Raw genomic sequence first — 18711 nt, 5'->3', positions numbered from 1 at the left:
CTCAAATTGTCCCAGATTTGGCCAATGGGAGCCCTTTAAGCCAGATTCCCTTTTCTTCTTTGAATACTTCCTTACTTTCTGGCACAAGAGGTTCCTTTTAGTAATGGAGAGCATTTAGAGACCAAGATCTAGAAACCAGCTGTGCTCACTGGAAACTAAGTACACTGATTGCTATAAAACACACACACACACACACACACACACACACACACACACACAAAATATGTACAGTTGTCCCTCGGTATCCAAAGGGGATTGGTTCTAGGACTCCCAAAGACACCAAAATCCATGGATGCTCAAGTCCCTCATATAAAATGGTGTAGTATTTGCATATAACCTATGCACATCCTCCTGTATACTTTAAATCACCTCTAGATTACTTTTTTTTGAGATGGAGTTTCACTTTTGTCACCCAGGTTGGAATGCAATGGCATGATCTCTGCTCACTGCAACCTCCGCCTCCCAGGTTCAAGTGATTCTCCTGCCTCAGCCTCCTGAGTAGCTGGGATTACAGGCACCTGCCACCACGTCTGGCCATTTTTTGTATTTTTAGTAGAGACAGGGTTTCACCATGTTGGCCAGGCTGGTCTCGAACTCCTGACCTCAGGTAATCCGCCCACTTCGGCCTCCCAAAATGCTGGGATTGCAGGCGTGAGCCACCACGCCTGGCCTCTAGATTATTTATTGATATCTAATACACTGTAAGTACTATAACTAGTTGTTATACTGTATTGTTTAGGGAGTAATGACAAGAAAAAAAAATCTATACATGTTCAGTACAGATGCAATAACCACCCACTGTTTTTTCTGAATATTTTCCATCTGCAGTTGGTTGAATTTGTAGAATGCAGAATCCGAAGATATGAAGGGCCACCTGTGTTGTTATTCATTACATTTACACTTATTTCTACATGTACCTATATGTTGGAAACCATGAGTTCACACCACTATCTCCTGTTCCAAAACACCACAGTGCTCACACTAATTTTCTCCTTTTTCAACTTTTGTAATTGACTTCTAAGATAACAAAAAAAACCTAGCACCCAGTATCCTTAATATATCTGCTGATTAGATCAACTCCCTGTAAGTAACTGGTCTTTTCTTGCTGTCTCCTCTTCTGCATATACCCCCAACCCACCCCTAGAGGACGTACAGCTCTGACATCCTGTACCAGATCTGCCCTTGGTGGGAATGAATGCCCTTTTCGCCACATTCTGACTTCATCAGCCTGCACCACGCCTCTGCCTCCTGCATGTGAATGAGTGACCTTCTCACCCTGCTCTGGACCCTGTGGCTCCCTGCCTCCTGCATGTGGATACCTACACTGCTCCGCACCACCTAATGTCCTTTGGACTGAATTGCTTCAGAAGGGTTGAACAACAAGGGGAAGGGCCACACAAGCAATTTCAACAGTTGATTTTTCTATTAAAATCTCCTTAGTATTCTTAGGTGTATTTTTAAAAATAGAGACCATATAGGCAATTCAGATCCTGCAGTTTGGCCAATGATTTTAAAACTGAGAAATCAGTATGCAGCAGAAGTATCATGTAAATGTCCTTTGACCTTCAAGCAAGTCAGTTACTTTATATCCTTCATAATTCTCCTTAAGTAGTTAATTCGGCTTGTTTTCAGTGTTCATTGCTTTACATGATCAGTCACACAGTTTCTGTGCTCAGTGGAGTCCTGCTCTAGCAGCTGATTGTAATGCATTTGCAGTCTCCTTCTGGCCTTGCATTTGTAATATTGGAACCTGGGTAGTTTTTGGCAGGGTGGTGGGAATGTGTGTGTGGGAATTGGCTTTGTTAGGATTGTAGGTATACGGGTAACTTTATGGCTTCTAAAATTTTTCTGTGATGTTATGTTTCCAGTATATATGTATGTATGTATGTAAGTATAAATAGGTAGATAAGGTTCCTGATTGTAAATGAGATCTTACTTTCTCTTTTCTAGGAAGAAAGCAGTTCAGATTATTTTGTTTTCTTCAAGCCATCAGAAATATGTCACCTTTCCTCCACATTTACATTAATATCTGTAAAGAGTGATTGTTGCTACTTTTTCTTTCAGAGGCTCTAGAACAGAGATTGCACACACGGCCACACTTCTTATGCTCATACCCATTACTGCATCTAGATGGAAGCAGACCTGGAAGAGGAAACACTGAACTAGACCATAAGCTGCTCGGAAGCAAGCACCATGCCTATTGACCGTCATGGCTCTGTCTCCAGGCTCATGAATGAATGGGTAGATAAATAAATACGTTATTGGCAAAGTGGCTTAGACATGCTATGATTTCCATCCCTCCCTATTTACAGATAGCATTCCAGTTATCTTATTTCCATTAAGAAAAATCCAAAACCCTCAATATGAAATCAGACTATTTCCATGAGAAATAGTAAACAGACTAGTCACCAACTATTTTAGGAATAAAAGATAACACACTACCTCTGTACTCGGTACACTCGAGTCCATGGAGGCACGAGGGCTAGGATCCGAGCCACCAATTCAACCAGGTCACTAGGAGAGTAACTCTTATATCTTCCTGATTTCCAAAGCTCATAAAGCCCGGTCCCACGAATCACCAGGGTAGGATAGAGTTTCAGCCCATCGGGACGAAAAGCAGGGTTCTCAAAAAACTCCTGTGAATAGAGAACAGAAAATGACTTCTCCATTAGTTATGCAGAGATCACCGAGGGTGAAATCTCAACCCCTGACAGCTTCTCTGGCACACCCAGTAGGCCCTGGGGCAGCCTTTGCTTCTGACCAGGTAGGGCGTACAGACAGAACAGAAACTCCTTGTTTCTGTAGTCTCACTGGGGCAAAGCAAGTGTGTGCTGGACTGCACTAGGCCCTCACCATTCCAGCTTGTCTCCTGCACAATCTCATCTCATGCCACCCCTCACCATCTGGCCTTTCCACTCCTGCAAAGGCAATTTCCTTTGCCTGGAAAGTTCATCAATTTTTCTTTATCTAGCTAATCTTCAGGTTTCAGTTTGAATGCCACTTCTTCAGAGAGGCCCCTCTGACTTTCAAATACTAGCTGTCCCACTTAAAAAAAATCCCACTGAACCCAGTATTACCTCTTTCTTATCATCACATGACAATCTATTCAATGTCTGCCTTCACCTCTAGAGTATACCTTTCTTTAATAATGGAATATACTTAATTGCTTACATTTCAAAAGTTGTGACAGAGATCATCTAGCTTACAAAATTTAAAATGTTTACTATAGGGCCCTTTAGAGGAAAAGTTTGCTGATCCCTGGATATGACTACTCTGTCCCTAAACCAACTGGCACCATTCCTATCCTGGGCTACACCTTGTCCATTTGTTATCTGGACACTGAGCAATAGATCTAACTCAACTACTTTTGGCAAGTCATTTCTTATACTACATCACCCCAGCTGGCTGCTTTCTTTCTTTATTTTGGGATGTAGCAATGAGACACCAGGCATTCTCCTTTCCATGACTTTGCACTGATAATTTGCTCTAATCTTGTTTTGCATAATATATTTTGGAGAAATGAAAGTGGACTCACAGTCCCCTCTCACTCCCACCTTGGTGGGAGTATCTACTCAGCTGGCAGGGCTCTATCTTGTAAACTGGAAAAATACTTTTTATCTTTGCCACATTAGTCTTCCAAAGCTCTTCATTGTTTAACTTGCTTTACAAAGAAATATAACAATAGACTTTTCCATCTCTCATTGACATCTGTCACGTTCTTAAATGCTGTATTCTTTATGTACTATTTAGTTTCAGAGATCTTCTTCTGTAATTGTGTGATTTTCCTGTAACATTTATATTTTAAAGAATCATCAGGTCTTTAATAAATATTCTGCAGCCATCCCACAAAGAGCACGTATGGAAGCCATTGTTCACCCAGTCTGAATCTACATTTGAACATGGGATTTAGAAAAGTATTTCTGGTGCTTGTATAATAAGTTTCGGAGACATACAGGCTGATACATTCCTTTGGAAAGAATGAAAATTGATTGGTTCTCAATTTTCAGTTACACTAGAGAATTTAAAAAAGTGTTTATTTTCTTTCCCTCCAAAACCACACTAAAGTAACAGGGGCCAGGCGCAGTGGCTCACACCTGTAATCCCAGCACGTTGGGAGGCCAAGGCAGGTGGATCACCTGAGGTCAGGAGTTCAAGACCAGCCTGGCTAACATGGTGAAACCCCATCTCTACTAAAAATACAAAAATTAGCTGGACGTGGTGGTGCGCGTCTGTAATCCCAGCTATTGAGGAGGCTGAGGCACGAGAATTGCTTGAACCCAGGAGGCGGAGGTTGCAGTGAGCCAAGATCGTGCCACTGCACTCCAGCCTGGGTGACAGAGCGAGACTCCATCTCAAGAAAAAAAAAAAAAAAAGGAACAGGAAAGAATTTTTTAAAAAGTATAAACCCAGAAGAACAAAGAGAACAAGAAAGGAGGCAAGAATGAGACCCAAGATGGCAACAAATTCTTCAAAGACAGAAACTAGGAAGGCTTGTGAATGACTTTGCAAGTAAAGAAAATAGCAAAAGGAGACAGTAACGAAAGGCCTGCTCAATCACACTGCAGAGTTCCAGAAAGGCTCACGGATCAGAGGTACCAAGAACTGGGCAGGATGGAGGAGAGACATGGAAATAAAAACAGGGGTACTGGATCAAGTGTGTACATAGAGGGAATTATCCGTTAACCCTTAGCCTTTCCCGAACAGGCAGATGAGAACATTTAGTCCCTGGAGAAACTGGAAAGCCTCTGCGCTCTGAGATTCCAGGTACAAAGGAAGGTCTAGATGAAGACCAAGGCTGAAAACAGGGAAAAGCCAGCACATAGACTGGTGGACTCTCCGCCCTACTCTCTGGATGTCAGCAACCAACTTCCTGAGATATACTCAGGCCACTCAGCCCAAAGCAGGAAGTTGGAGAGTTCATCTCTGGATGAATCAAATGGCTCTACGTAAGAGTTCACGATACTGACATTTAGGAATCCCATAAAGAAAGAAGCGCTTATTGCTAAAAGAACATTCTTCAGTGAAGCACGCCTGCAAGCTAGGCACACAGGCCTTGCCATCCGGCTTTTCAAACCCCTACTCTTAAAAGCATAAGGAATCGCTTTAGGCCAGGCGCAGTGGCTCACGCCTGTAATCCCAGCACTTTGGGAGGCAGAGGCGGGCGGATCACGAGGTCAGAAGTTCGAGACCAGCCTGGTCAACATGGTGAAACCCCGTCTCTACTAAAAATACAAAAAATTAGCCAGGTGTGGTGGTGGGCACCTGTAATCCCAGCTACTCAGAAGGCTGAGGCAGGAGAATTGCTTGAACCCGGGAGGCAGAGGTTGCAGTGAGCCAAGATCGTGCCATTGCACTCCAGCCTGAATGACAGTGCGAGACTCCGTCTCAAGGAAAAAAAAAAAAAGGCATAAGAAACTGGTTGAAGATCATCATAAACTTGGGGAAAGCCAAGTACATTAAGGGGCCAACCAAAACAAAAAGAAAACAAAAGGCACTTGGAGGAAACAGAGGCAATGCATACAGAAAAATAAAATGTATAAAAAAAATCTGTAATAAATTTCTTCAGAGAGATAAGAAAAGATAAATTATATCCACAATACAAGACCAAGGTGCTGTAGAAAACTGAGACCAAATGTAGTTTTAAATTTCGCTTTTTTGAAGATTAATTACTTTGAGAACTTTTTGATAGGTTTATTGGCTATTTGAATATTCTCTTTTGTGAAATGCTTGTTCAAGTTTTTTGCCCATTTTCCTACTGAGCTGTTTGCCTCTTATCAATTTCTAAAACTTATTTATTTTAAAACAATTTAATTTGTAGAGAATTCTTCTCTAGAAAGAACTCAGATTTTTCATTTTAGCTCCCTTCTGTTACTCTTTACTAGGATGCAGTTAGAAAAGAAATATGATCCACTCATATTCCCTGTGAGTTTCCCTGCAAAGACTACAAACAAGCAAATAAATCTGTTTACAAGAAAGGTTGTCCTTGCAATGTTATTACTGAACTATTCCTTATGTTGAAGACACCAAGGAAAATATGTACTGAGACTCAGCTATTTGCTATGGCTTCCTACAGTATGAAACATACTATATTTTTCAGGAGCACTTAAACTTTATGAGTTCTGGCTATCCTACTGGTCTCCCTAGGAGCTGTGCTAAAGAACAGTGTGTTTCACACTGGGACACAGGGTGGGGAACATCATACCCCGGGGCCTGTCGTGGGGTGGGGGGCAGGCGGAGGGACAGCATTAGGAGAAATACCTAATGTAAATGACAAGTTCATGGGTGCAGCCAACCAACGTGGCACATGTATACCTATGTAACAAACCTGCACGTTGTGCACACATACCCTAGAACTTAAAGTATAATAATAATAATAATAATCATGATAATAAAAAGTGTGTTTCAGGTGCCTTTTTGGCCTGGTGTCTGAGCACCTGGCTATTAGTTACTGAGGGGAGGATACTAGACTCACAGTCTATTACATATCCATTGTGGGGGAATTACGAAGAGGGATATCTGTGAATTAATGTTATCTCATAAACAGGTCCTCAGGTGCAGTTCACCAGCTTAAAAAATAATAAAAGTAAACTTCTTGAGAGGAAAGAATTATTAACTTCACAAATAAGACATGGTAAACTGCATTTTTCTAAACAGAGCAAATTAAAAGTACTTTTATAGATGAAATAACTTGATAAATATCGTCATCATCTTAAAACACACTTGCCCTATCGGAGAATCTGAAGAAAAACAAAAGGCCTGACCAATCTCATTTCCCACAACAAAGTTAACATGGATCAAGAAACTGTGAGAGTTAAAATAACAACAATAAAACAACCCAGAGTTAAAATTCAAAGAACAGAAAGGCAGTTCTAAGCTTAGAGGCATTTGAAGAAAAAAAAAAAAAAGGAAAAAAAAGATCGACTTAATGGAAGCACAAGTAAAAGGTCAACAATAGGTTAAGGAAAATATTTAAAACAAATATAAAAACCAATGAGTCCATAATCTCCTTACCTAAAAAATTCATATAAACTAATACTAAAAATATTCTTATCTCAATAGAATAATGAGTCAGAGGATAAAAACACACAATTCCAAAAAGATGAAAGAAATGTAATTAGTAAATACAAACTTGAAAAATGTATTATTACAATTTCAAAATGCAAGTTAAAATGGCACTTTTATTGATCAAACTAGCAAACAGTAAAATATATGTACATATGTGCATATGCATCTATAAGCATATATAGAAAATAAACAGGAGAGAATTATTTGGGAAGAAAAACTCTGCTGAAATGAGTATAAATTGTTATAACTCTCTGCAAAGCAACTTATTAATACAGTGAGATTCTTAAAATGTTTCTACCTTTACCTGATAATTCTACTCCATGGAATTTATCATAAACAGATAAACCTAAATACTAAAAAAAATTATACACATAAAGTCATTTACCTGCAGTGTTTTTTAAATAATATTAAAAAACCAGTATATCTTAAATTCTGAAAAACTTGCAAGGGTTTAAGCAAGGTATGACATATTAAATTAAAAAGACATTTAAATATGTTAACATGTTAACAGAGACCAGGCTACAACATGGATAAATGCTTGTTAAAATGTTAAGTGAAAAAACTATTACAATAATTTCCTATGTCATATATATTTGTATGTCTGTGTTATATTTGCATAAACAACCTCACCCCCCAAAAAACCTATGCATAGAAAAATCTTGGAAAGAATTCATTAAAATGTTAAGAGTTTTGTCTGATGGGGCTATGGGTGATGTCTCTTACCCTACTGTGTTTCTAATATTCTATAATAAGGATGCATTTCTTTAACACTGGAAAACATCAACAGTGAACAAGCAACAAGACCAGATGGGATAAGAAACATGCAGAGCCATTCTGAATGCGCCTGGCTGAAGTCACACTTACTGTGAACTGTTCAATGTCTCTTTCTAGTCCCACGTTTGGCAGGTCAGGCATCATATGGGCCACCACTTTAAAACCGGAATCTTTGGCCAGGTGAAATGACTCACACACTGCCTTCACAGTGTGGCCCCTAAGGAAAGAAAATCACTACCTGTGAAAATCACTACCTATTTGTGTAACATCTGTTACACAAATAAATGGGTGACAAAGTTAACACAAGGAACAAGGGGAAAACAATCTCTGAGACAGGTAACAGAAGTTCCATAACCAAAATCATATGGCTGGGGGAAAAGACATCTCAGAAAGTCATTTTTTACATCCCCACCTCTCAGGAGGCCTGGAAGTAAATAACTTTATTTCTGAGATATTTCTCAGAAATTCTCTTACACATCTACTTAAAGTCTTGAAAGTAAAGCATTGGGATGGCAAAAGTTAATGTGTATTAAAATTATTTGGTTTAGCATCACCAGTCAAAATAAGCTTATGAATGTAAATACCTGTATTAAAAATTAAAATGAGCTCAAAACCATGCAGAAGCAGCAAGCTGCTATGTTCTTTCCTTTAAAGATCTTGTGAAATTATTTGTAGACAGGGAGGAAGAGTGAAACCTATGATACAAAATAGATTTCACTGGTGGGTTTGGAGGATCCTTAAATAACAGTAGAAAGAGAGAATGACTTAGTGAGAAGGCAGAGTCATTTGGGGTCACGTGGATAAATCATCTTAACTTGGCATTCTAGAGCCAATCCAGCAGGAAACAAGTCCTAACAATAGTTTTGGGCAACTAAACTGAAGTCTTGTGGCTATCCTTCTGCCACGAAGGTGTTCCCATTCACGGCAGAAGGATCCTAGAAACCACAGACTCCATCTCACTCTCTCAGAATGCTCCCAACCATTTCCATGGCTTCAATTTCTAATGTCTTTTTGCTGATGACTTCCCAATTCCTAGGACAAGGCCAGGCCTCTCTCATGAATTCCAAACCCAAATAACCAATACTTTAAAGCAGCACTATTTAAAATGACAGCCACTAGGCACATGTGGTTATTAAAATTTATATTTAGAAGAATTAAAATGGAAAACTCAGTTGCAGGCACAGAACATTTTGATCACTGCTGAACTGTCTATTGCCTAGCCCTGCTCTAAAGCAAACCTTCACTTGGCTATTCTACAGGTATCTGAAACTTAGTGTAGCCAAATGAAACCCACATTCTCTCCAAGCCTCCTTGACTTCCCATTCTCTCTTATCCTCACTTCCAATCAGTCACCAATCACCACCATTCACTTCTTTCCAGGACATCAGTATTTCCTGCTTAATTTCTGTAACAGCCTCGTACCTGATCTCCCTTCCAACTTGCTCTTCTCTGACTGCCCCTTACACTGTAAGCGATCTTTCTAAGCTGCAGATATGCTCCATCACATTGTAGCTTTATGCGTGCTGGTGGCTTGCTCCATTAGATTCATGTCCAGCCTCCCTGGGCTGACTCCTCAGGCCCCTAATAATCAGCCCCTCTGCCTGCTTTTCAGCCTCACCTCTTATCACTCTCCTATTTCACATTCTAATCAAACTAAGCCACTCCAAATTCCTCAAATGTGCTATGGCACTCCCATCTCTAGGAGTTCATTATTTTCTTTCTGCCTCAATCTTCCTCTTCTGCACCTGACCAACTCAGACTCTTCCATGAAGTCCCAACTCAGATGTCGTATTCTTCAGAAAGCTCCCCCTTCCCCTCCATCTGCACAACTGTCTCTCTAGCACAGCCCTTGAAGGCTACAGCACTCCACAGTTTCCCTGGTTGAAGCCTTTTCCCACATAAGAGCATCCTATTCGGTTACTCTTTCTTAATTAAACATGATATCCATGAGATTCTTCCCCATGCTAAAAAATATTCAACAGATCTCTATTCCTTAAGGGAAAATTCCATCCTCCTCGGCCTGGCATTCCTCTTGGTTGTTTCTAAGATGCTGATCAGTGCTTGTTTCCCTAGTTCCCCTTTGCTTCCTTCTCCTGGCACAACACCAATCACACCTACCCAAATCCTACAGAATAAAGGGGCCTTTAACATCCAACTCAACACATCCTTCCTCCAAAGCCCACCGTTAGAATTCTCGGTCAATCATCTCAGCTGCCTAATAAACTCTCAATTGTCTCCCCTACTCCACTAATTTAGCAATTAACTGTGAAGTTCCTTATACAGTTAACCTTTCGCGGGTATTTTCTTTTCAACTAAAAGATATACTTCTAGAGGGAACATAATAAAGCTCTAACAACTCTTACTTCCTTCTTTTCTTGCACTCCCAAATTTCTCAAAGTTTACAACCATGGCATCACCAAACTTTTTGCTAGTTGGTATTTGCTCCACAAAAATGAATCTCTTAAACATTACCCTGATGTCCTTTTTATTCAAACTCTTTTCTTTGTTCTTGGCCTTCTCTCCTGCTTTAAACTACTAACCCCGAGTCCTCTCCCCTGCTCTCTATATGGACAAGGCTGCTTAGGACAAGAAGAGGGAGAGAGATGAGTGTGTTTACAGGCTGCTGGAAAAGACCCACTAGAGAAAGACTGAAAATGAGGGAAAGAGGGGATGGAATTAAGAACACAGACAGAAGAAAGAACTCTGAAAAGGAGGAATACCCATACTTCTTTCCCTAAGAGTGGTCAGAAGGAAGAAAGGCTGGGTATGAATGTAGAGAAAATGGTGAACTTGGAGGAAGACTTGTGCAAGATCACCTGCCACCATCTTACCTGTTGGTGTCTCTAGCCACATCTTCATAAACACTCTGCACCCCAATCTCCAGCCTTGTGCAGCCATAGGTCAACATGTCACTTAAATGTCGCTTCATGCAGTAATCTGGTCTGGTTTCAATAGTAATTCCAATACACTTTGTGAGGCTTCTCTCAGAATACCTGTAGAGCAAATCTAAAATAATTAACCTGTTGCAGGTTTTAAGACATTACTCTGTCTCAAAAAACTGCCTTCTCTCTGTCCTCCTAGTATGAGATAGTGGTAAAGAGTGTAGGCTCTGGAGCCAGGCTGCCTGAGTTCAAATCCTGGCTCTGCTACTTCCTAACTATGCACATGGGGATGCTATTAACCTCTGTGCTTCGGTTCCTTTAACTGCAAAATGAGGATAATACACTATCTACACCTCATAAGATTGACGTGACTGAGCTAGCATAGTAATGTTATTATCATCATTATCATTATTATTCTCCTGCAGTAAGCTGCAACCATAATCTCCTTGAAAGCAGTGATTTCAACTGTGAAAACCTATTTTTCAATTCCTAGCAACCATTTTTCACATAAGTGAAAACCATCTACATTATTTATTTCCCACTCTATATTTTAAATGAAAGAAAAAAAAGGGGGGAGGGCATATGTAATGATTATAGGAATATTTTAGATGAAATGTCTTCTATATACACAAAAGCCTTTTCACCTAGTCTATTAATCTTAGCAATGATTTACAAAATTACCAATCATTTTTGTCTTTTACTAAAATCATGTATCAGAGTAGCGAGCACCACTTTAGATTCATGCTGTCTCAGTTAGTGGCCTTAATGCTGGCCAAAGAGGCAGAGAAGTAAGTCTCTTGCTAGCAGGGCTAGTGAAGTGAGGCGACAGGAGCTCACATTTACAGAGGCTGTTGTGGGCCAAGCTCTGTGCCACACACTCTAGTACTGAATCCTCCCACTAGCTCTATGAAGTGTGTCCTATTACCTCCATTTCACAAGTGATGAAACTGAAGCTGAAAGGGAGTAAACAGCATGTTCAAGGGCACAGAGCTAATAAAATCGGAGTCAGGATCTGAAGTTGGGTCCACCTGACTTCAAAGTCCTTGCTCTGTATTCCAGTTACCACACTGCTTAGACAACTCAGCGTGGACCCACCCCAGACTTCTCTGCTTTTCAACATCTCTCAATTTTTTTTTTGATTCGGAGTTTCACTGTGTTGCCCAGGCTGTAGTACAGTGGCGCGATCTTGGCTCACTGCAACCTCTACCTCCTGGGTTCAAGCATTTCTTGTGCTTCAGCCTCCCGAGTAGCTAGGATTACAGGTGCGTGCCACCACACCCAGCTAATTTTTTTGTATTTTTAGTAGAGACGGGGTTTCACTTTGTTGGCCAGGCTGGTCTCGAACTCCTGACCTCAAATGATCCACCTGCTTCGGCCCCCCAAAGTGCTGGGATTACGGGCATGAGCCACTGCGCCCGGCCAACATCTCTCAATTCTTAGAACCCCATCATTCTTCTTAGTGCACCCTTCTACAATGTTCTCAATTTTGGGGGGAGGATGAGAGAAGCCTTTAAAAAAAATTTCCCATTTATTTTCCTTCTTTCTGAAGAAGTTCATTGTTCTTTACTGAAAAGTAAAAATCATAAAATTTCTGTAATTTTTGTAACTAATTCCATGAGGTTCACTCTTTCACTCTTAATTGTCAATAAAAACGGACTTATTTATTGCCAATAATAATTAAGAAAGCTAAGAATCACCAATCTAGAGAACAAATTCTCAAATCTTTCATTCTGGACATTTGAACTCTTTTGCATTGTTTATTTCTGTATTCCGCGAGGTTTTAGGTAGGATTACCACAGGCAACAGGACTAAAGGTAAACAACTAGTTCAAAGTCACTAAAAGATGAACTATGAGACAGAAAAAGGGCTCAGATCTTATCAAATCTTGCCTAAGACAGGATCCAAACTAATTTGGCTTCTCTGAAACAATAGAATCATCAGGTCCTGTGCCTCTTAAACAGGTGGGTACTAAGGCACGCAGTAACAGTACATGATGCCACAGGAGAGACGTAACACACCTTCCTCCAGCATCAATTATTGGGTTTGAGGGAAAACATTTTTCAAATAAAAATAAATATTCATATATTATGGAGAAAGCACACCATACAAAGGTTGAAAAAAAAGTACCAAAAAACCCCAGAAAGCAAAAAGCTCTAAATGACGTTTTTAAAAGTAAATGAGAATATCCTAGAATGAGGCATTCCAACTGGTATTTTTAAAAAACCTGCAGTATTTCTTAAAAGTGATACCATTAAGTTAGCAAGCGTGGTGGCATAATAGTAGCTTACATCACTGGGAAAAACTAGAGGGGAGGCAATTGCACAAATGGGAATTTGTGTAGAGGAAAGAGAAAATTTATTAGCTAGTCTTCCTATTGCAGAGTGTCAAAGGCCCCACCAAGGACATACAGAGGACACTGCTGCACAAGGTCTCTTTATAAGTCATCAGAATATAGTACAGGCCACAGAAGGAAACCTTATTCTCAAATAATAATTTAACTCCATTTCAAAAATGTTTTTCCTCAGGCGGGAAATGTCATTACCTTTTGCAGCAACAGAAATGGTGGAAGAAAAAAACAACTCAAGTTTTGAAAAAATATTTTATATTTATAAAAAGGCTTTCACTATATTTCCTCTTTCCAGAATTGTATTTGCATCTGAAAAGCAATTAAACAGAAATTTGTATCAAATTTGAATGACAAAACAATGAATTTTTCCCATAGGCTTACTGTATTCTCATGAAAATTTTTTGATACTATATCTAATCCTACATCTCACCAAATCTGATTCTTCATTTAACAGAGATGTAAATATATCAACATAACTGTTCTTTAATATGCAAATATGCGCATACAGGCTTTCAACCAATCTGTGCTGACACTTTATGGCCTGGTATTAATATGATCCCCCTGTATCATTTAGGTAGCTATCCAACAGTATGTGCCACTTAGACAGCCATCCAAAAGCATGGCTCTCCTTCAGTACCTAGTTCAACTCCCATACCTCTTTGGGGGCTACAAGTTCTTCGGCATGCAGCAACTCTGTCAACTTCTCGAGAGACAAGGCCAAGACTCAAAAGGGATCCTCTGATTCCAATTCCACTGCTCTTTTTGTGGTATTACAGGTTCATTTTAAGCCTGTACAGCTCAACACTGTGGGGTTATGTTGAATCCTACGCTTTTCTGTATGCCATAGGAGTGGCACCAGCTATAAAAGATGCTATGTTCTCTGTGAAGCATAGCTTAAGTCAAAACCTTACGTTGACAGAATTTTTAAAAATTGTGGAGCAGGGGTGAAGAGAAATGGGACAATAACCCAGGAATTTAAAAGCAAACAAAAACCAAAGGCTACCAGCCTTCAAAACAGAGCTCCAATACATTTCTCCCCTAATGACATCTTCCCAGAACCCCTCCACCCTCAGTGAGATCTCAGTGCTCCCATTCCCAAGCACCCTGCCCACACTACAAGTAGTCAGCCTTGTTATTTGTGGTTATGTCTGTCTCTCCATCTGGACAGGAAGCCCCTGAAAGCCAGCAGGCTCAAACATGTCTAGAGGCTAAAAGGCTTCAACACTAAAAATTCTCCGTTGATTAAAAAAAAATTACAAATTTGAAGAAGGAATAAATGAATTAGGCATAACTGGGAACATAGGAGGTCTCTCTTCACTCCAACAGCAGCCTCCAGATACATCTACCGCTTATCTTTCCTCTTGCAAAAAGTTAACCTTAGAAGGTGCCTAGCAGTAGGCCAGGTATTCTTCAGAAAGTAAAAATATAATAGTTCCTGTCCCAGACATGCTTAACAATCTAGCTGGGGGGATAAGACATACAGAAAAAAAAAAAAAAAAAAAAAAAGAGAAATGACTACAGAACAAAAAGCTAGAAGTGGCAGAAATATAAATAGATTTAGATTATTTCTTGGGAAGCATGTTTCTATTTCTGGAAAGAAGAAAGCGACCTTTTGACAGAAGCACTATCTATTATTACTGTCTCCTTGCACTAAGGGCCCAACCAGGGGGACACTGATGGAAGGAAGATAGCACACTGATTTTAAAGTCTCTTTATTATCTTCTGGAAACTATCTTTTGTTTCACTCCAAGAAGCTGTGGTATCAAAGAGGTGGGCACCTCTCATTACAAATAATTCGTGGCAGCTCCTCTTTCAAAACCTCTGTCCTTACTGCAACTGGATGTGCCTGAGTCTAGTCCTGCTTAAACTCTCACAAGAACTCAAGGCTCAAGTTGCTGAATGGCTTACAGAACATTCCCTGTGTGGACATGCTGCAACCTCATACTCAACCTGTTCAAACCAAATTGCACAGTAAAAAATGGTACAGAGATGAAATATTCATTTTCGTTAGTCACAACATACAATCTCTTCTCCATCTACGGTCCCAAAACAAGTCAGTGGAGTTTACTCACTTCTTTGAACAGCCAGATTTGTTTGAATTGTTGATAACACCTTGAGTTATTGGTGTAACTCCTTGGCAGCAGCACCATGAACAAATTCCTCTTCTTAACTATTACCCTATCTTGAAAATACCTCAATAAAATTTGAAGTTCTGCCCAATGCTCTGCTAGTGATGCTCTAGACTTAACTGAGTTGGATGTTTGATGTGCTTGAGGATTTAAAAATAACTATTACCCCCAATCTTTTTTTGAGATGGTAGTCAAGTCTGCTTCCTCGATATTGGTGGTTATATCATGAGGTTCTATAAATTAACCACGCCCAACACAAAATGAAGTAACGACAGAATTTTGATTTAAAAATGAGTACTACCTATGAAAAACCAACCTGGTGGCACTGCAGCTTACAGACTAATCAAAGACCCTTGTGCCCTATCACATTAGCTGGCAGGGCTTAAGATATATAAAAACAGCTTATAACATTTTGTTTGAGGTTTGATTTTTTTCATGGCTGACAAAAACTATCATTTTGTAGTCCCCTCGTGTAGCTAAAGAACCAGCAGCAACACATTATTAATAGAAAAGAAAAAAAGAATCACAGATATTGCATTCTTTTAATATTATATCCACATTGAAATTTAAGGGTTATATACATAAAAACATTATAGAAAATGATTGTCAGAAAGTGGTTGCTAAATGAAGAATAACTTGTGAACATATCTTTTAGATAAAAATTCTCTTCATTAGAAAGCTTCAAATCATAGATGACAGAAAGGTATAATTTTAGAGATAATATAGTCCTAAACCTCCTCATTTTTATAGATGAGGAAACTAAATCACACACACAAAATAAGTGGATTAAACCAGGTAATAATGCAAAATAATAATATAAATAAGTCTGGAGACTATGTCTCCTGATTCTTAAGGGACAGTTCTTTCCACCGCATTCACTTAGCATTTATTAAGTACCAGAATTCTATGCTTAAGGCATTGTACTAGATATAAGGAGTCCTCTACCTTTCTCTTAAGAAGATATTCCCTATTAAAGGATATAGAAAAAATACATTATAAAGAATTAGACCATAATAGTATTCATTACAACTATTATTCTTGGCTACTGAAAACCAAAGTGAGGAGATGATTAAACTGGCAGATATAAATCAAACCATCAGCTTAAACTGATGTATCAATAATTACATCAAATGTTAACAGACTAAACACTCCAATTAAAAGGCACACACGAGCAAAATGGATAAAAAAAAAAAGAGCCAATTACTGTAGACTTCTGTCTAAAGAAATGCATTTTCAAGATAAAGAAACATGGGTGGAAAGCAAATGTATGGAAAAGGATAATACACAGGGCAAACAGTAAGCACATGACGGCTAAATTAACACCAAGTAAACTGCAAGACCAGGGATGCGGAAGGACATCTCATGATGATAAAGAGGTAATTTCACAATGGTGAAAAGCTCATACATCAGGAAAACACAGCAATCATAGATGTGTATGTACCTAATAACAGATTTACAAAATACATTCAGTAAAAATCAATATAAATGAAGAGAGATGTACAGAGTTCCTCAATCATACTTGGAGATTTCAATCTCTTAGCAATTGATAGAACTACAAAAGAATAAAAAACAAAATTTACCTGAACACTACTACCAACCATCTTGGTTTAACTGATATTTATAGAACATGACACCCAGCAACTGAGAACACACATTCTTTACAAACACACATGGCATGTTCACCAAGAGAGACCACATATGCTGGGCCACAAAACAAGTCTCAATAAATTTTAAAACACCAAAATTATACAGAGTAGGTTCTCTGGCCAAAATGAAAATAAATTAGAAATTAATAAGATATCAAGAAAAACCTCATTGTCTGGAAATTTGGAAATTAAACACCCCATTCCTATACATTCCATGGATCAAATACATATATATAAAGGGTATGAAAAAATATTTTGAATTGAATAATAATTAAAATACACCATATCAAAATGTGTGGGATTCAGCTAAAGCAGTGCTTTGAGGAAAATGTCTAAAATGATGGCCAAGCTTTTTTTCTCTTTTTTTGAGAAGGAGTCTCACTCTGTTATCCAGCCTGGAGGGCAGTGGCGTGATCTTGGCTCACTGCAACCTCTGCCTCCCAGGTTCAAGCGATTCTCCTGCCTCAGCTTCCCCAGTAGCTGGGATTACAGGTGCGTGCCACCACACATGGCTAACTTTTGTATTTTTAGTAGAGACGGGGTTTTGCCATGTTGGCCAGGCTGGTCTCGAACTCCTGACCTCAGGTGATCCGCCCACCTCACCTCCCAAAGTGCTGGGATTACAGGCGTGAGCCATTGCGCCTGGCCAAGCTTTTATACCTTATTAAATCACTAGAAAAAGAAGAGCAATTAAACGGAAAGAAAGTAGAATAAAAATAAAAGCAGAAGTCTACAGAGTAGAGGAAATAAAACCAAAAGCTACTTCTTTGAAAAGAACAACAAAATTGATAAACCCCTAACTCGGGTAAACAAGAAAAAAAGAGAAAACACAGATGATGAGTATCAGGGTTGAAACAGGGGTGATCACTAAGATTCCACAGATGTTAAAAGCCTAATAAGGCAACATAATACCAAAATGTTTGACAAAATGAATGAAACAGACAAATTCCTTGAAAAACGTAACTTTTTAAAATGGACACAGATGAAACAGAAAATATGAATAGCTCTATATCTATTAAATGAACTGAATTATGATCTAAAACCCTCCCATAAAGAAAATTCCAGCCCTAGATAGTTTCACTGGTGAGTTCTAGCAAACGTTTATGGAAGAAATCATATTCATGTTACATGAACACTTTCAGAAAACAGGGGAGGGAACAACACATCCTTACTTGTTTTGTGAAGCCTGCGTTACACTAATACCAACAACGAATACCTGACAACAAAATTATAAAAAAGAAAATTACAGACCACCACCCTGTATGAACACAGACACAAAAATCCTCTACAAAGTATTAGCAAGTTGAATCCAACAATATGTAAAGATGATGATATAATAGGGTTTATCCTAGGCATGTGAGGTTTAATGTTAAAAAAAAATCAAAATGATCCATATTACCAAATAAAGGAGGAAAATCATATGACCATTTAAATAGATGCAGAGAAAGCATCAGACAAATGAGTTAATGATAAACCCTTTCAATAAACTTATTCAATCTAATACATGTAACTATAAAAAACCCACAGGCAACACTGGACTTAATACTGAAATAAAAATGTTTTCCCTGTATCACTGGGAACAAGACAGAGACGCCCACTCTTACCACTTCTGTTTAACACTGTAAGAAAAGGTCCTAGGCAGTGCAGTAAGGCAAGAGAAAGAAAAGCATACAAATCCAAAAGGGAAAAGTAAAATGCACTGTACTTGCAGATGACATGATTGTTTAGGAAGTAAATATTAAAGGATTTACAAAAATAGCTTTTAGAATTAAGTAGTGAATTTAGTAAGGTCTTATGACATAACATTAATATATAAAAATCAACCGTATGTATATATATTAGCAGCAAAAATTTGAAAAAATGAAATT

At 38.9% G+C, this 18711-nt stretch overlaps 1 protein-coding gene across 7 annotated transcripts in view; it reads right to left on the bottom strand.

Moving 5' to 3' along the window:
- Positions 1-18711, bottom strand: part of ELP3 (elongator acetyltransferase complex subunit 3) — a 100922-nt gene that overhangs the window by 50820 nt on the left and 31391 nt on the right. For all 7 annotated transcript variants that reach the window (XM_024447184.2, NM_001284222.2, NM_018091.6 and 4 more), the window contains 3 exons: positions 10671-10832; positions 7930-8056; positions 2443-2636 (listed from right to left, as the gene is read on the bottom strand). In XM_024447184.2, coding sequence (XP_024302952.1) covers positions 2443-2636; positions 7930-8056; positions 10671-10832 — 483 coding nt within the window. The remainder of the gene's footprint in view (positions 1-2442; positions 2637-7929; positions 8057-10670; positions 10833-18711) is intronic.

This window comes from Homo sapiens, chromosome 8 (genome assembly GCF_000001405.40).
Source record: "Homo sapiens chromosome 8, GRCh38.p14 Primary Assembly".
In the NCBI taxonomy this organism is placed as follows: Eukaryota; Metazoa; Chordata; class Mammalia; order Primates; family Hominidae; genus Homo; species Homo sapiens.
This window is presented reverse-complemented; position numbering and strand designations above follow the sequence as displayed.